At 39.6% G+C, this 23,266-nt stretch overlaps 1 protein-coding gene across 7 annotated transcripts, besides 1 other annotated feature; it reads right to left on the reverse strand.

The window, feature by feature from the left end:
* Positions 1-987: 987 nt before the first annotated feature.
* TMEM100 (transmembrane protein 100) lies at positions 988-13,442 on the reverse strand. Of its 7 annotated transcripts, XM_047436341.1 has the most exons (5): positions 13,032-13,442; positions 9,162-9,343; positions 6,849-8,242; positions 3,980-4,090; positions 988-2,496 (listed from the first exon to the last, which is right to left on the reverse strand). In XM_047436341.1, exon 5 carries the CDS (start codon positions 2,429-2,431, stop codon positions 2,027-2,029), a length of 405 nt encoding a protein of 134 aa, XP_047292297.1. In that variant the 5' UTR covers positions 2,432-2,496; positions 3,980-4,090; positions 6,849-8,242; positions 9,162-9,343; positions 13,032-13,442; the 3' UTR covers positions 988-2,026. The 7 variants fall into 7 exon arrangements, with proteins under 7 accessions (XP_047292297.1, NP_001093110.1, XP_047292298.1 ...); NM_001099640.2 differs by lacking the exon at positions 6,849-8,242; XM_047436342.1 differs by lacking the exons at positions 6,849-8,242; positions 9,162-9,343.
* Positions 19,244-19,940: a transcriptional cis regulatory region, noted in NCBI's record as "candidate enhancer chr17.3823 targeted for multiplex CRISPR interference". NCBI's record gives its function as "positively regulates PCTP gene expression with high confidence in K562 cells {active_cell/tissue: K562}" and the evidence as "EXISTENCE:mutant phenotype evidence [ECO:0000015][PMID:30612741]".

Below are 23,266 nucleotides of genomic sequence, written 5' to 3' on the forward strand. Positions count from 1 at the left end.
GTTAAAAAGAGGATCTATCACACACTTCTAAGGAGCTTTGGAATAAGGATAAAACTTATGCCACCAACACGACAGAAAATAAAAGATGCCATCAGAGAATAAAAGATGAACTCACGAAAGGGCATTTACTTTCAGATAAAAGGGAAGACTTCCGGGAAGAGGTAGCATTTGAGCTGAGTGCTGATGAGAAGCAGGATTTGGGGAGATTAAAATCAAGGAAACAATGGCACTATAAGCGAGGGAAAACACAAGTTTGGACAGACATGGAGGCAGGAAAACCAAAGTCGGGTGCAAGAATGGTGAATAGTCTATTCTGGCTAACTCATAAGGAGGTTTGGGGATTAGAGTGAGTATGAAAACTGGATACGTCCTTTTGGATCAGACTGGAGAATCTTGAACCTTGTCTGAGTAATTTCTTAATACAGCAATGCGGTGGCGGGGTGGGGGGTGGGCTTTGAGTATCTTTGCACGGAGAAGAGGCATGTGAAGGCACAGACTCACTTGCATTGAAATGAGCACAGCCCCCTAAACTTGCATTTGGTTGGGAGGAATGTTGATCTGTACGTGACACCATCTGACCTGCAAAGTCATTTTTAGGGTGTTTCCACTTACCAAAACTACCTGAGCATGAGGGAGTAGTAAGGGCCCCAGGGCTCCTGTCATGTTTAATTAAATTTCTGGACAGAAAGACTTTCAATGAGTGTGCTATGCTAGGCTGATTTTGTTTTCCAAGTTTTAAGAAACCTTCATGCCTATCTTTCGATTCTAGCTTAAGGTGGTTTAAACTACATGAATGAGCTGTATTTCTGGCTGGAGTTACAGGGTAGAGTCCTAGCTGTGGACTAGCTCAATGTCCACTGAAGAATTCAAGCAGTAACTTTATTTGCATTGTATTAGATCTAACTGAGTAAGAAACCTGAGAATCTACATTATGCCTGGCATATAGTTGGTGCTGGCATACGTGTTAAGCAAATAATTAACAACTGATTCCACAAAAATGTAATATACATTTAATAGCACATTATAAAGTTCCTGACCAAAGACGTTGATTTCCTAATTATAATAGCACAGAAATCCTTTAGAATTTAGTAAACGTAATTAAGACTATTCAGAAGTAATGAAAAACCAATATGATAAAAACAAAAATCCTCCAGTAAAGAAGGAACCTGTCCATTTGAGAGAAATACAATTGAGAACTTGCAAATGAGACAAGGGAAGATGGCAATTTGGAACTGCAATAGAAATAACTATAGCAGAAACAACCATTTAAGAAGTTTTAGCAGCAATAAGTATTTATTATTCTGAATGAAATGTACAGTTGACTTTTATATAAAAATCATCAAAAGTGCTATATTGGATTATTTTACTATTAATTTAACCCCCAACAGCATCTATTAGCTATAACTTTAATGGGTTTTTCTTTACTTCTGATACATCATTACAACTGGCTAACACTGTCCAATGTTAAAATATAAAAAATATTACTTTTCAAGATAAAGTACCACCAGTGATGAGTTATTAAAAGTATAAAATGAAAACAGACGCCAGTGAATCAATGTATTGAAAAAAATTATCACAGAATTTCATAGACATATGCGAAACCCAAGGTAATTTAGATCCTTGGCAGAACATTTTTATGATACATCTTAAGACTGTAGGTTATTTCTTTTGGAGGCAAATGTCTAGTGTGCCAGGCCTATCTTGATTTTTCTCATCTTTTCTTGGCTACTTTACAGGGTGAACCAAATACTGTCTAATGCTGTGCACTCCCATGACCCCCAAAGTGTTTCATGTAAATAGAAAGCTGATTTTTCAGTCTCAGAAGTAGCCCTTAGGGTTAAGTTTGTCGTTAAAGAAGACATGAGTCATTCCTCACAAAGGAGAAGCCCCTCCACCCTCCCACCCCCATTCTTCCAGTCTGCTCCAACGCCAAGTCTGTTCTCTCCCACCATGGTTCTGGGTGAATTGGGTGACAAAGTCAGAGCACGTTTTCCAGGCCCAATGGCCCATTTGGTCGTATTCAGTCTCAAGCAAACAAGCTTCTCTGATTTGCCACGAGAGCTGTTTGACTCTCCCGTCTCTTGGCTTTCTTGCTCCTTTGTCTCACTTTCCAGCACAAGGCACTGGAGGCTAGTAAAAAAAGTCCAGATGACAGAACAACCAGGCCAAAGATGGAGATAATAGACCCATGGGAATTGAAGCTGTAAGCCACCGCGGTGACCACGATGCCGGCGATGAAGACAACCACAGCAAAGGGGATGATGCAGCGGTAGCAGGAGAGCTCGGTACCCCCTGTAGCAGCCATCAACTGAATCTCACTGACCAGAGGGACTGTGGTGATCACAACTTCACTCTTGGGGCTCTTCTCCATCGTCGCTGCCATGTGAGCCTTTGGGGCTCCCAGGATCTCCTTGATGGGCTCTTCAGTCATTTTTACAACAGTGCTTCTAAGCTGGGTTTACAGACTAGATCTGGACAGTCTCACCAGGGTGAAAGCTGTGAAGATAACAGGAGATGTCAGCTACATGTATCAGAATGTACACCCTGTAAGCAGAAATGAAAAGCTGGGGAGGCACCTCCTTTCTAGGAGGCACAGATCCATGTGAAAAGCAACTTTACTCTTTTTTTGAATTGGTTGCATTCTCTTTGCATTTAGGCAAAAAATAAGATGAAGCAGATGCATATGAAGGGAAGACAGAAAAAGCAGGAAGCACTTACAGTGTTTAATATACCCTGGCGGTCTACAAAAGTTTTACAAGCTTTTCTGCTTTGTCTATTGCTTCTCCTTCCTCTGAATACACAGAAATGCCTGAATCCTAATCCAAAGATGGTCTCATTCAAGAGGAGAATACATTACAAACAATATTTCGTACCATTAATCCCAGAACTTACAGCAACTCAGACTCCGCCAATCTTGCTGGGCATAACATGCATTCTTTGCAAACTATCACCCATTGGCTGCCCACAAAATCAATGTCAAGGCAAGTGGCCAGCAACAAATGATGTTCTTCTCCATTGAATGACAGCCAACAAATCTTTATTGTGTTACTATTAAACACAGTGCAACCTGCTCCCTGGGATCTTTTTATTACCCACTTTAGGTGGACAGTTCAGCAAAAAATTCATTGAAAATGAGGTGGGGATTTGTGGTCTGAAGTGTAACAATATCTTCCAATCTGCTATAAAAGAGAAAAAATAAGAAAAAAAAATTCAACCCCTTCATAGGATATAATTTTGTGCTTTCTCTTGGCAAAATAAAATCAATTATTTGAGTAATTAGCTGTCAATTCACAAATTTTCTATTAAGCTCAACACAAAATTTCGATATTATGTATACTACAACATGCAGAAACAAATAAGCATGCTAGGTTTTCAGGAAACTTTCACAACCTTCATTTTCCTCCATGCCTTTGTGTATAAAACTTGCTGCAATGACCCTTTCTAAGTATTTCGTACCTGAACATTTCAGGACAAAGCTTGAGACTTTTGATCAAAAGTATCTGGTTGAAATGCTGTCTATGAGAAATCAGTGAAAACTTGTCTGCTGCTCAGACATGGTTGAGTCACTGTCTTCCATTCTCAAAAAGCTGTCTAGCTGCTACACAGTTGAGCAGTTGTAGTTACCGAACAAGTTTAAAGAAAGATACTTGAGACCATTTCAATGAGATTCATACTTTAAATATATTAAGCATCCACTGAAAACAAATTCAACTCCAAATCAAACCTCACTGGTTCTTCCCTGCTCTGGAAAGTCAAAATATCACTCCCTGAGCAATGAAACTAAATCTTAGAGCTGCCTACTCACATGTCATTTTTAATCACCAAACTAATTAATCACTGTTGTCCAATGACACCCTAACTTCTGGTGAGGCCAGTTAAAAGATATTTGAGATTATGTCTGAAAAAAATAACTTCACCCCAAAGCTGAGATTGAGCTAACCTGAAAATCAAGATCTGTCCCCAAATTACTTACACTCACCTCGGAGAGAGGCAATCCATTACCAGAGTAACCACTTGACTTGGAAGACAAGAAACAGCAACGCCTGAGCCTCTTCGTCCAACTTCTGGGAAAGAGCCTCTAACAGCAAGGCTGTCAATAAAACAATAGGTTAGGGATCTCTTCTGGGGAAAGGAAAAGATGTAAAAATACTTTACTATAGGGTCTGCTCTGGTTTGGGATCCTGGAGTTCCTGCTTCTTTCAGGCTACCTCTGTTCCTAAATGACGCTTGTCTTTCCCTCCCTCTCTCTTTTTATTCCCTCCCCCTCGGGTTTGCCCCTCCCTAACATTTTTTTTTTTCCTTCGTTCTTTTCCTTGCCAGCAGATTCTGAGTTTTGGCTTCCCCCAGCTTTGCTCAGTGACATGATGAGTCCGAATCATTTCTACAGATTCCCCAGAGACAGGAGCCAGCTTTTACTTTTTCTCTTGCAGCATTTACTAAGCGGACTGCTTTGTGAATTTGAATGACTCATTTTTTCCCCCGCCGACCTCCAGATCTTCCTCCCGTCCATCAGGCATTTTTATAAGAAAATCCCAGAGTCAGCGTTGCAGACCCGGCTGAGGGGACAGAGCCGAGGGGACAGATACTCTAGGGTGGCAGAAACAGCTGTGAAGTCATCAGGCAGCTGAATTCAGTCTCTAAGCCAGCAAAAATCCATGTTCCTAGGTTTTCCATTATTCTTTATATGTGCGTGATAGTCATCTGAAGCTTAAAACCCCACTTGTTGAGTGTTAATTCATTTAGGAATGAGGGTGGGAGGCACAAATGTTTGTGGTTAAGGGGGAAAGCCAGTTATATTGATTTAAACATGATTGTTTACTGCTTTTGCAAGGAGGTAACTTTAGCAGCACCAAGATTATCATCATCATGATAATTGCTACCATTTATAGAGCACCTACTGTGGACATGGCACAATATTAAGAAATGTCACATATTAATGTTAATTCTCACTAGTTCATAAATGAGGAAACAGGCTCAGAGAGGTTAAGTAATTTAACAAAGATCACCCAGTAACAGAGACACCCTTGGTTTGAACCCTAATCTTTAATGGATATATATATCATTTGGGGAGATTGTTAAATTTAGATTCTGATTCAGTAAGTCTGTAACAAGCTCCCTACCTATGTTGAGACCTCTGTTCCTTGGCCCACTTTAAGGATCAAGGTATTTTAAACATTCAAACATATACAACTTGACACATCATACTTAAACAATAAAGTTAAACATCTATTTCCCACCCCATAAACCTGTAAGTGACTTTATAGGTTTATGCTTTCTTACAGACAAACTGTGAAATTTTTAAAACCTTGAAACATATAAAGCCCAAGATTGTCTTTTTGAGGAGAAAAGATAATACTGGGAGCTCATCCTACACTCTGTAGTTAAAAGTTTACATCCTCCATTTTTTCATCTGCACAAGTGTTAATAACCTCTTCTAATTAATACTGTGAACCACAAATCCAAATTAACTCTTGGAAGAGATTTGTTTTCCATCTTTCTCTCAAATTGTTAGATTTCTCTAATAGCTGGCAAAGGGCTTGGATGTTCTCAAACATCTCGCCTCTCCTCTACCACAGCACACTCTCTCCAGCCTTGCCTTGTAGCAATACCCTGATGACTTGTCACAAAAAGAGAGGGACCAGAAGTTGTTTATTCTGGAATGAAAGCCAGAGAGAGGGTTATGTCCTTATAAAAAATAAAGTTGAAAAGTCCCTGAGGTTGGGGGAGTCATGGCAAGTACCTGGAGGCCTTGGTCACCATGATCCTCACACTTTAAAAATGTCAGACCTAAAGAGACAGCTTTCATATCTGAGGAGTACCGTCACTTGGTGTTGAGGGTCAGGAATACTTAGAACCAGGGCATTTCAGAACTTGCCAAAGTTGCCCCCGGAAGATGGTAAGATGGGGGCCGCTGGCTACGTACAATGGAGGTTCTTGAGAAGCTCCTTAACAGAGCTGTCTTCTCACCTGCAAACTCTGGCCCTTGAGGGCAATTCCCCTCTATTTTCTAGTACCACTTTGCCTGCAAGATAGCCCAATAACTGCACTGAAGCTCTGAATATCACCTTATTCTGTTGAAAAGCATGCTTTCCTGTTACCAAAGCTAAAGGTGCAAACATTGAACGTCTAGAGAGAGGACAATGGCAGCTTTTTTCATAGTAAGCCCTTGACTGAGTCTATAATGAGGCGCAGTGAGTGTGTCTGTGTCCTAGGAGCACAAATCTGTCATCACTTCCAATACCAAAGCTTTCTTCAACCTTGTCAGGCTCAGGTGCCTCATTCACACCAATGCTCCTCCACAGGGTGTGTGCACCTGCCTTGATACACAGGTACACATCTCTAGACTCTGAGTAGACAACCAATGATTTGTATTTTAAATTCAAAGAGGTAGAAAGTTTTGGTATAAAGCAGACATTGTATCAGAAGAATAGAAGCCTGTCATCCTAACCACTGACACATGCAGCTTTAACTGACTTTACCTCTTCAAATTGAAATTCAAAGAGAATTCCTAGTGATCTATGCCTGTTGTTTCTGAATGTTTATTCCTCCTTCCACTCTGTGTCTACAAAGTATTAAACACCCCTGGGCATCCTTTGGGGACACCTGCCCCCAAATGCAAAATTTCATCCACAATGCAACCAGCCTTATTTCTGCGAGCCCTCTATTTTCACAAAGAAGAGGAAATCTCTCTAGTTCTTTCTAAAGCACATGGCTTTAGGAGACTCCTTTAAGTTTGGAGAACTTTTCTCAAAGCCTCCAATGCATGAATTATATCTATGCCCCTAACCCCCATAGACATTCAACATTTCCTTCCCAGATCTTTCAAAAAGCAAAGCAAAGATCCTTACCTTTCCCAGCCAGAGTTAGACTGAGACAGCTGCCTGCCCTGCCAAGAGCAACCCAGACAGGGGGATGCAAATCACCACATTAGGGACCGTAAACAAAGTACTCAGCAAGGCTTAAACACAATTAAGGGACCGGAGACAATTTGGCAAGAGGAAATCCCTTAAATGCTGCTGGATTTTACTCTGTTGTCCTCCATGAAAATGTAACCCATATATATGTGTGTGTGTGTGTGTGTGTGTGTGTGTGTGTGTGTGTGTGTGTGTGTATACAGACAGAGACAGAGAGAAAGGGCATCAAGTTTGAGAAGAATATCTTCCTTCACTTTTCTCTTTTTATATCTTTATTCAGGCACTAATTTGCAAGGTTTTTCCTATCCAAAGCCCCCATTCTGATGCTCTCCCTCTGTGAATCAGAACCTGCAGAAAAGAATTCGTAATCTTTGCTCTACATTTCTAAGGGAGTATGGGGTTGGAAAGTGTGTATGTAGGGGAATGGGACCATAAACCATCCTCTTTCCCAATAACATGCAGGTAATAAAAGGAGTACAAGGAAGATTAGGATTAGTGGTGAGAATGGCATTTGGTGCCTGAGTGGACCCTCTCCCTAATGTCAGAGGAGTGGTCCTATTGGTGCTCTTCATTGGAGGATGTCAAGGCACCATAGAAATTATGTTATACTGAAAAATCACACCTCCGAGGTGACCTTCCACCAAAGGCATTGTAAACGGCAGAGCTGGGAACATTTGCTGTTCCAGAGAGAATGCCCCAAATTGCAAAAATCTCATTTTTTTTTCTTTAGAAACAAAATGAAAGACAAAGTTACTTAGGGGAGAGGGGTCTGGGAGTGGAGGAGGGCAGGGAGCATGGTGTGTACTATGACAAAGAGGTCATTTTGCCCATTTCCCTAAAGTGGAAGCCAAAGATTCAGGCTCTAAGGTTGCAAAAGGGGATGTTTTGATTTTCCTATTGAGTTTGTGCTGTTGAAGACCTGGCAATTTCTCCTCTGGGAACACATGAAGTTCGCATTTTGTGAAGCATGCCCCCATGTGCATTTGATTACTCGCCTGTCTTTATTTCCAATTTGCTTTTGCTTGGTGTGTTTGAGCTGGCTAATTTCCAGCAGCCTTGAGGATGCCAGTTCCTCTTGGCCTTCTGTCCAATCACCACATGCCTTTGATCTCAGTCATCACCCAGTCCAATTGGATGCAGGGAGATTTGGGAAGCTGGCCAGGTTTTCTCCTCTCTAATGCTTCTTTTAAGGGTGTGCCTGCATTTATGTTCTGAAATCATGGACATTTTGGAAAGTGATCTGTGCTTCTGTGTTCATTTTGGATAGCAGGTCATGTTATTATTCCTCCTTTTCTTTTTTTCTCCTCCAAAACACTTTTCTTTGAGGTCTAGGACATTAAATAGAGAGATCTGATAGTACCAAGAGGAACAATGAATGTGCCTTAGATATAAATCTGTATTTTACTAATTGGTGGTCAATTTCTAGGTATGGGAATCTCATAAGATCCATTTGAATATAGAAAGGGAAACATACATCTTTTAGATTCACATTACAATCCCCATTCTCTTACCCCATTTTGTTCTGAGTAACTATGAAAGGTCACATAAACATAAAAAAATAGAGCTGAGTAAATAATCTCTCACTTCAACAAGAACTAATTACCATTCTGGCCTCAGATGAGAAGAATTGATTTTCTTGTCTCAAAATCAGAATATACACCGAAACTCCTGCCATCCTGATACAACCCCATACATTTTGCATCGCATTTTATGTTTATGTACGTTATTCTTTGGAGGCCAAAGATGAGGAAGCCCGAAGTTCGAGAGTTACCTCAAAATGGGCTGACACTTTCTTTCCTAAGACAAATGCACACTCCTAGGGTCAGCCTCCCTTAGTGAGTGAGCTAAGGCTCACATATTCTGGGGCTTGCAGGAAACACACCATACTTGTTTTTTTTTCAGGGAGGAGAAGGGAAGGGATCACAATGACCTCACCCCTTTGCCACTCCTCCCTATACCTGATAGCATGGAGCCCTTTGGTGCTCGTTTACAGGAGAAATCTCCCCCTAGTCTCAGGTGCCAAATATCACTTGTCTTGGTCATAAAATTATGTACATAAACATTGTGTGGCACCCAGTCGACTCCTAATCGCTGTACAATTTCTAGGCTTTGACACCAATCTGATACTGGAAATTGGAAATCACCTCGCAACATGTAAAGTGTCCTAAAAACGGATAATCAATGGTATCTCTGTAAGGGTCAGTTAGCTTTTCCCCATTCCATAGTCACAGAGCAGAATATACTTACCGACCAGATTAGCCTTGTCTCAGTTAGGTAGCACTGGCCTTAAAATGACTGGCTCAGGATGGGCTCATCAGTGCTGGCCTCCTCCAGATAATTGAAAGCACAGTTTAAACCATAGGTTTTAAGTTGCAGGCTTGGTAAGAGGAGCATGGAGGATATTTTTCACAAGTCACTTTTTAATTTTGCTGAGAAAGAAATGGGGAGGGAAAAAAAGAAATGGAGGTTCAGAGACTGGCCCTGTTTCTGGGTTTAACTCCAGAACCTGGGCTCCTTCCTTCTGAACTGACGCACACAATGTGCTCAGTTTGAAGAGGAAAGGGACACATTAACACAAGCATCTAACATGTACTACCCATAACACAGTCATCTCTCAGGTATTTGTATTTTATTTAAAGTGGCAGAGCCAGGTTTCAAATCTAGGTACCTCTTTCTTCTTCTATGTTGTGTTGTGAGGAATTCATTTTTAAAATTATATTATGTACATTTTCCTAAGTTTAGCTTAAGTCTCATTTTCTTGGGTTCAGGGTGATATCCTCTAACTAGATTTAGTTTGGGAAAAGTGCTCTGAAAAGGGGTGCCTACTGCTTCTAGAATGATTAAGCCATGTATTTTGCCTTGTATACATCTGAGCATTAAAATAGAGCTGCATTACTAAGCAGATTTGGGTAGGTTTGAGGCCGGGACAGACATAGGCCTGGTACCTGCGGAATCCGTGGAAGATGCCATAGCAGTCAGGCCACTTCAAAAGTCACCCAGGCCATTCCTCTGCCTTCAGAAGCATTTTAGTTCCTGTGCTCCTTTGGGTGCCAGGAACTTGCTAAATGCTCTAGCTGAGCAGATGCAAAACAGTGGGCAAAGCATGGTCTCTGCTTTCATGGAGTTTACCATCCAGAACAGGAAAGTCACAGGGACACCAACGTGGGTAATCCTTTTCTTGAAGGAATAACAAACGGCTGTGGAAGGCCCAGGGAAGATGAAATCAATTCAGGCCCAGGGGTGTGTGTGTGTAGGGGGTAGGGGGTGGTGGAGGTTGGAATCTTCATGGCACACAGGCATTTAACATTATAAATAGAAAAGGAAAGAACATGATTCTAGGTGGAAGAAACAGCCTGTATTCAAGCATAGCTTTGAAAAGTGCAAGTCTTCTACAAAGAGCACTGAGTAGCCTGTTTGGCAGAATTTTAAAGAGCACAGGGCAGGCAGAGAGCAGTCAAAATAAGACCGGAAATAGTTTATGGTCGGATTATCGCCTCGATGGCGAGTTTGGACTTTCTTTTGAGAGCAATGTGGTTTTGAACAGGATTGCACAGTGAGCTCTGTGCATTATAAACAGTAGCCTGACTTTATAGAGTGTTGGCATGTCCTAGGGAAAGTCAATATGGGGAAGAGGGAAAGCAGGTTGAGACACCAGTTGGGATGCCTCTGTGATTGTCCAGGTAAGAGGCAATGGGCACCTGATATTGGCAAACGCGGACAGGTAGGAAATCACTGCAATGGTAGAATCAGCAAAACTCAGCAATGAATTTCAAGTGGGGAAAGTTATCAAGGGAGAGGAGTTTGTAAGGTTTTAAACTAAGTAATTAATAGCTTGAGGTTGCTGTGAGCAGAAATAGGTCAGGACAAGGAGTAGATGTGGGGCGAGGAATATGTGATAATTTTGTTAGCGTAGCTATTCACTTCTCCGGTGGAGAGGCAAATGCTAGAGAAGGTTGGCATTACTGCCTAACTAGTAAGTTATGATGCATTGTGTGAATTGTCAAAAAATTCTGTCATAGGCTCACAAATAAAATTTCGAGTAAAATTATGAATAATTTTATAATTCACTTCATTCCATATGCATATGCACACACACACAATTTTGCTGACACACATACAATATATACACACCAGCTGTGAGATTGCTAATGTTTTGCATAGAATAAAAAAAATTTAAGTATTCCAATTTGAGACTTTATTTTTACTGACCATATGCAAAGAATTTATTGATGATACATTCAATTTTAAATTGCTTGAAAATAAGAACATAACTATGCAATTCTTTTTTACAGTGTTAGACATTATTTTAAAATAAGCACTACATAGATATCTTCTGGTAATGAAAATATTTTCTCCAGTGGTTACTACTCTAAGGTACTACTCATGAGGAAGGAATATATAGAAGGTTCTTGTCTTGCCACTTCACATATGGAGAAACGCTTTTGCCTTACTAAGAACTAATTTTATGTTGCCCCCATGAGTGAATACTTTAAAAAAATAGCAATCCAAATCCACTACAGATTTATTTTGGAATGTCCTGTTTTGGGCCTCATGCAATGGAAGCAAGCCTTTATGTTGAGGGGTTTACCATGAACATGTTGGTTGGGAAATCATCTGTCAGTTCCTCAAGGACATTATCAACAATTTTGCATGCTTAGAAAGTCATTGCCAAATAAGTCAATGAATAAATAAAATAATGACTCTACATTGAAATCGGATGTAAATTTAAAACTTAGATAATTATTTAAATGGATTATTTTAAAGTACCCAGATATTTAGTGCTAAGTACATTAATTATTCCTTATCATTATAATGATAAATAGTAATTTATAAATGAATAGTAATTATAGTAATTATTCAATTACATTTGGAAAATGGTGCCTAGGACTAGAACCAAAGTCTGATTGATGCCAAAGCATGTCTTCCTAATCCCTGTGGAATATTGTTTCTGTGTTCAAATGATGGCATGCTTTCTGTAGCTCATAAGGAGTAAACTTGCCTTCAAATAATCTCTTGGGTTTTAAAATGATTGCTTCACCAGAAAAAAAAATGCCATTGCCTTCCCACAGAACCTCTGTAGTGTTATATTAATTGAGGATAGAACTAGCTCAACAAATCTTTTGGGAGCATTTTTATCCTCTTAAAAAGTCTTTGATATTCACGATGTGTGTGGGTAGTAGGAAACAGAACACTTTGCCCAGCTGAACTGAGTTCAAAATAGAACTGTTTATCTAATGAACTTATCTTATGGAACAATGCAGAGAACAGATCTCTTGCTCTCTTTCTTTAGATAAAATTTTTAAAGTCTCGTTTTGTAAAGGAGACAGAACTTTGCTGTCTCCTTCTTGTTTACTTAAATAAACTATACAGGAAACAGGCATTATTGTCTTTGAAAAAGCAATGTAAAAACTTGGTAAAACCAATGATCCCCAGAGAGTACACAGCCACAGAATGAGAACACGATGTTTCTTCCATCAGGGCACACAGAAGGGCACCGAGTCTACTTTGAATTCCAGCTGTACATTTGTACCCAGTTAATGAATCTGCTGTTGATAACTTTGGATGACTTCCAGTATGATGGACTCAGTAGTCTCAGGGAAACCTTGCTTCCCTGATTTATTTCTTGCTATTTATTTTCTAAGTTTAACTTAGTTTGCAAAACTTTCTTTACAGCACTGATAGGGCTTGATTACCTTATTTTTACAGCGCTAATAGGGCTTGATCATCCTTTTTCTAGAATCTAGGTTATAGCATGAGGTTTTGGATCGCTTCCACAATAAAATGAACATTTCTGACTCTCCAATATTATGCAATTAAAATTAGCCATTAACTGAAAGTCGAGAAACTTGAGTTTGATTCTTTTCCTCTTTGTGGCTTGGGCAAGTCACCCAACTTCTGAGTGCTCTATTGTCAGATCTCAGGATTCCATCTGTAGATACTTCATTATTCTTTTCTTAGAAAAAAAAATCCTATCTGGGCTCAGAATATCAGAGAACTGAGACAAGACAACTTGGGGAAATAGCTAACACTACTACACAAGCTACCAGAACAGCTGTAGGAAGCCTCTTTTTTAAAAAAATATTCCCTGATGCAACATCTGTCAGCAAAGCCACTGACCTTTTACTGTGGATAGTCATCTATTTCCATGTGAAGAGAGTCACAGGCGTCTGGCTCGGGGACTGACTGCAGCACAAAGGTTTTCTTCAGTCCCAATCAGAAATTCTAGGTTTTCAGGTTCGCACACTAATTTTCACTCCTTCTTACCCAAAGCCAATGCAGTAAGGAGCATGGGGTGTCCAATACCATAATAAACTGTAAACTGCATTTGAAAGGAAAGCAGCAGGGGCCAGAACTCACACTTGTGGAGCCTCACCCTGCTGTGACTGACATGACGTAAGTCGGAGACCTCGGTTCACAGTTTTATGTGACAGGACACAGGAGCAGCCAACTTTAGGGAAGACTGATAGGAAAGCCCAAGGGTGAATCTCTCTGGGAACAGGAAGCATGTACCGCGGGACCAACAAGGCTTTTGGACAGAGAACTTTCACGGGTTTTGTAGAAGCAACTGGGCTCCCCTGAGGCTGCCAAGAGGGTGTGCTCTGATCACATGGACTGTGCATTTCCTTAGAGCACCTCCCTTCCCAGCCCACGGAATCCAGAAAGAAGCTGCTGTGCTGCTGTGTGACCTCCATCAGTGCAGTGGATTCCTTTATAAGCACACAGTTCTCATAAGCAGAGAAAAACGTAACACTGTATATTCCTCTCTTCTCCAAATTTTCTTATTTTCTTTTTGGTAAGGTTACAATCTTACCACTGTCAAATATGTCCTGTACACCAGGGAGGATTTGTGCTACCTGCCTCAGAATCACACAGGGTGCTTGCAAAAAATACAGGTTTCTGGGCTCCACCCCAGACCTACTACATTACTGCATCAGGATAGTGTGTGTGTGTGTGTGTGTGTGTGTGTGTGTGTGTGTGTGTGTGTGTTGAAAGGTCAGAAACTTGTGTTTTTTATCTGCATCCATATGAAGTTTGAGATCCTCTGCTTAATGCTAATACAGAAAGCTATCAAGTTTGCAAATCCGGCCTCACCCCTCTTTAAAACCCATCCATGATTCCCCCTCATCTGAGGTCTAGAATCTCTACATGACACACAAGTCTTCCCATGAGCTGGCCTCTCCCTTTCTTTCCAGTCTCAGCTCCAGCTTGGATCAAATTACAAATCACAAACAACACATTATTTTATGTTTGTCATGCTTTGTTGGTTCCTACTCTTGGAGGCTCAAGATGATGTCTACTCATCTTTTCATGACTACCTCAAGCATCACCTGCTTCTAGAAACCTTCCCTGGTAAGTCCTCCTCTATTTTCAGACTAGGCAGCATGAGGTCCCTTCCCCCATGTTCCCGTAATGTTTATGCCAGTGTTTCTCAATCTGAGTACTTTTGACATTTGGGGCTGGATAATTATTTATTGTGAAGAGCTGTCCTGTTCGTTGCAGAATGTTTAGCAGCATCTCTGGCCTATACCCACTCTATGCCAGTAGCAACCCCTCCTCTCCTGCACAGTTGTGACAACCACGAATGTCTTCAGACATTGCCAAATCACCCTGGCGTGAAAATGTTCCTGGCTGAAAATACTGCTCTGTGCTTACATGTATCATAGCCCTCAAAAAATAGTGTGGAAAGTGGCTGTTTGCTTGTTTATCTTCTCTAATCTAAAAGACTGAGAGTTTCTTAAGAGTAACGAGTGTACAGAATTAACCTTTGTGTCCCCTACACTAAAGCACAACATCTAATGCATAGTTAGACATAAAATACACATTTCTTGAGCAAAGCGTTATTGATGGACTAGATGTCAGAAACCCTAGCCAATCTTGGTTGGCTCTACTGCTTGCAACGTTGTGACTGTGGACAAATAAGTCAACAGCTCCGTGCCTCAGTTTCCCTTATTTGGAAAATGGGGGTAATAGTGCCCTCCTTGCATATTTGGGTCATTATGCAGGTATGGGAAAGTATAAAGTGCAGGAAGAACCCTGGTTATAGTAATGTGACCTAAAGGTTGCTGCTCTCATATTTGCCTTCTCTGGAAACATTGAAAGTTCAGGGCCACCCACACAATATCATCCACTTTAACAATAGCTGGAGGATTTCATTAATGCAGAACATTATAAATGTGAGAAATCTTATGGAAAATGATTGAACCTCCAGTATGGAATGAGACCAACATAATTGTTAAAAGAATTCTCTTAACATAATGCTGTACAGCACACTATGAATATCCTAAAGGTCAAACGCTCTCATCCGTATCTGTTATGCCTCCTGCTAAAGACTCAACCAGGCCTAAAGGAGCCTTCTCTGCTACAGACCTGTCTGATTTTCTGTTCTTGAGGAACTGCAAATCCCATTCTTTGCACCCTCTTCTGTCCTTCTTCCTTTCTGCTCTGTGCTAGGACAGCCAGCTGCTTCCTTGCTTCCTGACTCTTAATATCAGTTATAGGAAATTAGCAGGTTTTGCATTGGGATGCCTCTCCTATTATTTATTACCTTCAAGAAGAGCTTTGTCTCTCTTTCATTGTCTCTTTCTCTGTCTCTCTCAGTCTCTCTGTATCTCTCTCTCTCTCTCTCTCTCTCTCTCTCTCATCTCTCTCTCTCGTTCTCTCTCTGACTCTCTGTCTCTCTCTCTCTCTCTGATTATTTTATGACTTCCTTTTATACTTTGTCCATTCCACTACTGTTGCCTCCGTGCTATCCAAGCACTGTGGTAAGCTGATTTATATACAGTATCACTCTCCCTACTTTTACAGAAATAATTAGCTTCCAGATTGTGTTCAGCTAAGAAGCACCCCTGTTGCATGGAAATGTGGACTGTGCTTCTCCCTTCACCACCATCAACCCCCACCCCCCACCAGCTGCAGCTGGCCAGGCTTTCTTGTTAACCATTTCATGCCCCAAACACTTAGAGTACAAAAGCACTTAAAAACTGTAACATTCTCTACAAACGTGTCAAAAAGTCCTAAACACATATACTGACAGTGCAACAAGAAGGCTTGGAAATTATCTAATCTAGCTCTTTCACTTTAGATTTGGGCATATTGAAACCTGAAGAGGTTAAGTGACTCACTCGTTACCATTTTCTTTGCATTTCTAATCATCTCAAAAGGCAATCTGAATCATTCTGTAATCTTTTTAGTGTATCATGACTAATCTTTATTTTCCAATCTTTCCTATACTTCATGGTCCCCTCTTTTAAGCTTGAAATAGTAAGTTCCTTTTAGTATAGGCTTTGGAGATGTTTCATCTGAAAGAGGTGATAGATGTTGTTTTTAAAACACTGAGTTCTATGTATCTGTTTTTACAAGTAGCACAAGGTTTAGGGTAATTAACAAGTTTTTATTTTTTGCATATATTTAGCTATGGGAGAATATATATCCATGTTTAGATTTACTATGGTACATCTATTTATTTATTTTAAAATTTTATTGTGGTAAGAACACTTAACATGAGAACTACTTAATTATTGTTGGCTATATCAGAATTGAGTCAGTTTTCCATATTATCCAGTAAAGTATGTTCACTTTGAAAAAATTTTTCAATGTGCATTTTACTATATTTTTCCTAAAGGCATGGAAATTCTTATTTAAATATTTCCTTTTTAGCTCATTGTATTAGTCTGTTCTCACGCTGCTAATAAAGACATGTCCAAGACTGGGCAATTTATAAAGGAAAGAGGTTTTATTGACTCACAGTTCAGCATGACTGGGGAGGCCTCAGGAAACTTACAATCATGGCAGAAGGGAAAGCAAACGTGTCTTTTTTCACACGGCAGCATCAAGGAGAAGAATGAATGCTCAGCGAAGGGGGAAGCTACCTATAAAACCATCAGATCTCATGAGAACTAACTCACTATTATGAGAACAGGATGGGGAAAACTGCCCCCATGATTCAATTATCTCCACCTGGTTCCTCCCAGGACATGTGGGGATTATGGGAACCACAATTCAAGATGAAATTTGGGTGGGGACATGGCCAACTCATAGTACTCATTAACCTTAATACATCATTTGCTATCCTTTGAAAAAAATCCTTCTCAAGGCTGTGTTAATCTGTTTATAACCTACGATTAAAGTTTTCAAAATAAATTTTCAATAGGAGACTACAGTGTATAAATTATATGTCAGTGCCTGGCATAAACTAGACACTCATTTATTTTTAGTTCCCTATACCCACTAAAAGTATATGTTTTGACTTTCCCTATAAAATAATGCCAAACATTTCACGATGTGATAGCCAAACTGAAATTATGCTTCTATGATCTTTCAGAAATGTTCTTGGATAAATGAGTGAAAAGGAAATAAAAATAACCTTTAAGTGTTAGGAAACCTTTCAATCCAGCTACACACCAGCTTTACCCACTCACTTCCTTCTCTCTTCTGCGCCCTCTACCGACTACCAACTGCAAGTCTGTATTAAATTAGCAAATTTAACTGTTTTGAACAACAAAAAAGCAATTTTCCCCAGCCTATGCCTGAAAGTCATTAAAACACAAATGATTGCTTTAAAGAATCATGTTGTCTTTTTTCTTTTTTTAGTGGCACCAGGAAAACCTAGCTATAATGTAAAAAATGAGACAATATAGATAAACCTAAGTAAAAAATAAAAATCACATCAACTCCACCTTCAACAGAACTACCAATATTTTTTGTATCTTCACTCTGCCTTCTCTACATAATATGTACGTTATTTTTCTTATAAAAATGGGATTATATATTTTGTATATAATTTGTATAAACTTTCTCTTTTTGTATTAACCATCCATGGCAAACTCTTTTCATGTCAATAAACGGATAATCAGAAATGGCTACATCGTGTTCCATTGCAAGGATGTCCCACAATATCTTTGTGGGCACACATTAAGTCTGCTTCCAGCTTTTCTTGTTGCTTTTTTTAAAAAATTTCCTCTCATGTCTCATCTTCTCCATGAATATATGATAGAAACTAGGGCCAATAGTGATAATAATTAATCTCAGGGGCTACAAATGACAGGTATCTCAATATACACACTCTTTTGTTAAATACTTCTGCCTCATTCCATTTCCTATACTGCTTATTCTTTCCTACTAAATTGCATCTAAATATGCAGTATTAGTTCACATTTAGTGTGCACACAATAGTGAACATTTTGTAAAGATGTAAATTTTTTTCTCAATAAAATTCAAGAATTTTCACCTCCAAAAATGAGAGTTGGCTTTCATGAAGAAGGTAAAATCTAAATACATAAAAATAATGAGAGAAAAAGATAAGAAATAAGGGCTCCTAATACAAGGGATTTAGTCTATGCAAAGTAGAAATTCCAGAGAATATAATGGAACTGAAAGAACACAAGCAAAGGTGAAAACAATAGAAGGAGAACATTTTGAGCCAAAGAAATATTTAAATTTGATACTTAAAAAGATTAACTGAAAAGAAATGGAAAAAATATCCCCATGTTTCTAGATATATCCAGGCAAAATTCTTGAATATAAAAGACAAAACTTTCTATGAGAATCAAGGCTTTACACCTGTAATCCTAGCTTTTTGGGAGGTCGAGGCGGGCGGATCACAAGGTCAGGAGATCGAGACCATCCTAGCTAACACAGTGAAACCCCGTTTCTACTAAAAATACAAAAAATTAGCCAGGCGAGGTGGTGCGCGGCTGTAATCCCAGCTCCTCGGGAGGCTGAGGCAGGAGAATGGCATGAACCCCGGAGGCGGAGCTTGCAGTGATCTGAGATCGCGCCACTGCACTCTAGCCTGGGCGACAGAGCGAGACTCCGTCTCAAAAATAAATAAATATAAAAAATAAAAAGAATCAAGGCTTTAAAAGCCTCATGTATTCTATAAGGGAATAGAAGTCAAGCCATTTTCCCCAAAGCTGAATGCCAAGCAGTCACTGTTTACAGAATTTTGAGCGTGAAATCAAATTAGGAACTCATGAATAGTGAAGATGTAGTTTACAAGTACTCAAAGTAAGCAATAAGGTCATACTTTAAAAACATTTTACAAAAGTAAAACTATAATTCTTTACAGAGAACAGGCATGTCTTAAACCACAATAATACTAATCCAGATTTTTATTCCGAGGTATAAGCAAATCCAGGAAACGGCAGATGTTAGTGAGAGGAAGTATAAACTTAATATATTTATTTTACACAGAGAGAGTCAGAAATAATTTTTTTCTTTATACTAACATACATGATATATCTATTCAAAACCTAAAGGTAACTATAAATAAGATTGTCTCTTTTTTTTAAATAATTTCACTTCTTCATTTCTAATGTTCCTTCTTTTAAAAGACAGTCATATAGGATGGATGTCTATTTTAGTTGTCTATTCCTGCATAATAAACAACCCCAAATATCAGTGGCTTAAAAGAACAAGAGTTATTTATTTTGCCTGTGAATCTGTAATTTAGCCCAGGCTCAGTGGTGAGAGCTCATCTCTGTCTGCTCCAGATAGTGTTAGCTGGGGCAGTCCAACAGGATTGGACGGGTGGGTGGGAGGATCTGCTTTCAAGAGGACGCCTTGATATGGCTGGCAAGTTGGTGCTAACTGCGACTGGGGAGCTCAGGCTCCAGAGCTGTTGAGGCCAGGCTGTTGGTCAGGCGCTTTAGATGTCCTCCAAGACATAGTCTTCATAAGATGCTTGGGCTTCCTCCTGGGATGGTGTCTGGGTTTTGGGTTCTAAAATGATGTCCAAGTTCTGACTTTGTAGGCAAGAAGTTTGAATTGTATATAATGCACTGTCAAGTCATTGGAGCATTTTAGGGAGGGAGTGTCATGATCTCTGGGTTCTGAGAGAGCTCCAAAAGAAACAGGAAGCTGTTTATCTTTTATGACCAAGTCTTGGAGGTCACAGAACATCACTTCTGATGTAGTCAGAAGTCTGCTCCAACTTAAGGTGAAGGAACACAGGCTCTACCTCTTGGTGAGAGAAGTGTTAAAGTCATATAAGAGATTATGTGGGAAGAGAAATACTGTTGTGGCCATTTTTGAAAAATACAATGAGTCTATCTTCAAAATGCTAAAGGAAAAAAAAGGCTTTGTTTAAATTTTAAATTTAATTTTATATTTTTAGAGATGGGTTTCACTCTGTCACCCACGCTGGCACAAGCATAACTCATTATAACCTCCAATTCCTGGGCTCAAGTGATCCTCCTGCCTCAGCCTCCCAAATAGCTGGGACTATAGACCTGAGCCACCATGCCTGGCACAAAAAAGTATTTTTAAAATCCCCAAATAGATGCCCTTATTTGGCTTGGTGGTTATGAGAAATGCCTTGGAATAAAGGGATCTGGATTTGAATCCCATTTGTAATATTTACTTTCTGTATATCTGTAAAAATGTCCTTTAGTCTTCTTAAACCATCTGTTAAATGGAAATATTGATACTTAATTCACTGGGTTTGTAGTGAGATAATATACTTTTAAGTACTGCGCATGGTCACTGACACATATTATACTGTCAATAAACGGTATTTTTTGTTTCTTGGTGTTTTTTTTTTTTTTTTTTTTGAGATGGAGTCTCGCCCTGGCACCCAGGCTGGAGTGCAATGGCACGATCTCGGCTCACTGCAACTTCCGTCTCCTGGATTCAAGCGATTCTCCTGCCTCAGCGCCCTGAGTAGCTGGGACTACAGGCGCGCATCACCACGCCCGGCTAATTTTTTGTATCTTTAGTAGAGACGAGGTTTCACCATGTTGGCCTAGCTGGTCTCAAACTTCTGACCTCGTGATCCGCCCACCTCGGCCTCCCAAAGTGCTGGGATTACAGGCGTGAGCCACCATTCCTGGCCTAAATGGTAGTTTTTAAAAAGACAAGAAAGACTGCAATACTACTGTTTACATTGCTTGGGAGTTCCAGCCCAGTGATTGTCAAGTTTGTTTTTATCAGTAGAACCCTTTGCCTCTCTGGCCAGGTGCAATGCCTGTAATGCCAGCACTTTGGAAAGCCAAGATGGGAGGATGGCTTGAGGCCCGAAGTTTGAGACCAGCCTAGGCAACACAGTGAGATCCTCGTCTCTCCAAAAATAAATAAATAAAAACCTTTGCTTCTCATAAACACTTCTTCAGAGTCTGAATGCAGAAAACCAACAACTTAGCTTTTATTTGTAAAGCAAAGATGACAGAGCCTAGAGCTCTGTACCTGCTAGTTTACCCTACTTCCTGCAAAGACACCAGGAGCATCTGCTGAGACATTATGAAAACCATTGTTTCAGCCCAGCTCATTTAATATCATGGGAAAGAAAAATGATTGGTACAGCTATTAGAAAAGCTATGGTAAAGTTATCTCCTTTTTTCCCCTTAACAATATGATTGTCTATTTAGAAAACTGAAGAGAACAACTTAAAAACTAATAGAACTAACAAAAGAATTTAGTTTGGTGACTAATTCATTTATCATTTATAAACACACATATATATATACATACACATATATCTATAGCCCTAGATCCAAATCTCTCTCCCTCTGTATGTACATATATATATATATTCTAGATATATATCCAGAATTCTTATATTATTTCACCCAATAGATATTTGCATACTTATTATGTGCCAGGTGTGTGCTAGCGACTGGGGAGGCAGTGGTAAGTAGGGTAGCAGGTCTCACTGTCCAGCTTATGCTCTGATGTGGGAGACAGACACTTAACTAATTACTAACTAACTGAGATTAGTGTTGGAAAGCAATTAATATTTATTTACTTATTTACTTTTTATTGTTTTCCTCCTACCCCCACTGGGGTACAAATCCAATAATAAATGCAATAAATTTCATGCAAGAAGAAAAGAAAAGGCTGAAATAAAAAAAAAGAAGAGTTGAGGGAGGGTTGGGGTTAGGGGAGGAGAGTCTATGGAAGGAGTGCTCAAGCTGATACCCAAAAGGTAAGGATGGCTGAAGTGCTGAGGAGGACAGGTGAAGTGGAGAGGACAGCATGGGGGTGCGGGGGTTGAGAAGAGAACACAGGACTTTGTAGGCAAGGAGTTTGAATTATATTTAATGCTCTGTGATGTCATGGGAGGATTTTAGGGAGGGCGTGGCATGATCTCCTTAGCATTTTAACACAGCTCTCTCTGTCTCTGTGTAGGGAGTGGATCCAGCAGGGAGATGTCAGAAGGTCACTGAATCATCAGGGCAACATTGATAGTGGCGTCAGCTGGGTGGGCAGTCCAGATAGAAAGAAATGAACAGATTTTAGCTATGTGGGAAGTAGAAATGGAAAAATTGTTGACAAATCAGATATAGGGTTTGAAGAAAGCAGAAAAATATAGTTGTAAGGTTTTCAAACTTCCAAACAAATCTGATTTGTCCTCATGGACACACAACCTTAGTGAAAAAGCAAGCAGGAGGCGCCTAAATAAGTTTTCTTCCCTGGCGGAAGTGGTCTATATTAAGTCTGCTGAAGTCACCCAAGCATAGTCTACTTTCCCAGAGAAAGACAGCCAGGACTCTGATTCAAACTTGAGACCTCCACTATAAAGTGAAGATTTCAGGTGCAGGAAAAAAGACATCGATATTTATGCAGATTAGTATGAGGGTGCAGTTCTGTAGTCTGGGGATCACAGCCCAAGTGTAACTCTAGACTTTCGGGCTGAAATATCCTGGTGTTGAACTTGGATCTCCTGCCATAATGAATCAGGGAACGGAAGGGACTTCGTAATACAATACATCCAGCTTGTCTGTGGAATCCCGTTACTGGAAGAAAGGTGAATGATGACTTTATTCTCTGATCCCTTCCAGGATTCAAACAAACCTAGTGTTCTGAACTGTCATTTTGTTTAGTGAGTTTCACATAAAGTATCTGTATTAACAGGTAAAACTGTAAACTCATCTTTCCTAACATCTGATTTTCATGTTCTTATTTTACTTACGTTAGCAGGCTAAATATACCATGGACTCTCAGTCTTTATGGATGTATGACAACATGGTTTGACTAACTGAATAACAAAGTTATTATCCAATCCTTGTGCCTCAATTCCCTCATCTGTAAAATGAAAGTGGTAGACTCGATAACACATAACATGTACATAAAATGATTTCTGCAATTCGTTGTTTGTGTTCATGTGTTTACATGGACTACTGGTTAAGGATGAGATTTGGCATCTGATACATCTTTGTACTCTACAGCAGCCATTACGGCCATGAAACCATAAAAATTTATACTGAAGGAGCTTTCAGATGTAGCCTTTAATGTATTCTTTTATCTATTAGTGTACTCACTCATTTGACAAATATTTATTAATGATAAATACACAATTGTCAAATGAATGAATACATAAATAAGAAAGAGAATACATTAAAGGTGATATCTAAATT

The sequence above is a fragment of the Homo sapiens genome, chromosome 17 (assembly GCF_000001405.40).
Source record: "Homo sapiens chromosome 17, GRCh38.p14 Primary Assembly".
Lineage (NCBI taxonomy): Eukaryota > Metazoa > Chordata > Mammalia > Primates > Hominidae > Homo > Homo sapiens.

Excerpts from the sequence above, each read along its gene's own strand:
- TMEM100 (XM_047436342.1), bottom strand. The coding sequence starts at position 2,431 with ATGACTGAAGAGCCCATCAAGGAGATCCTGGGAGCCCCAAAGGCTCAC.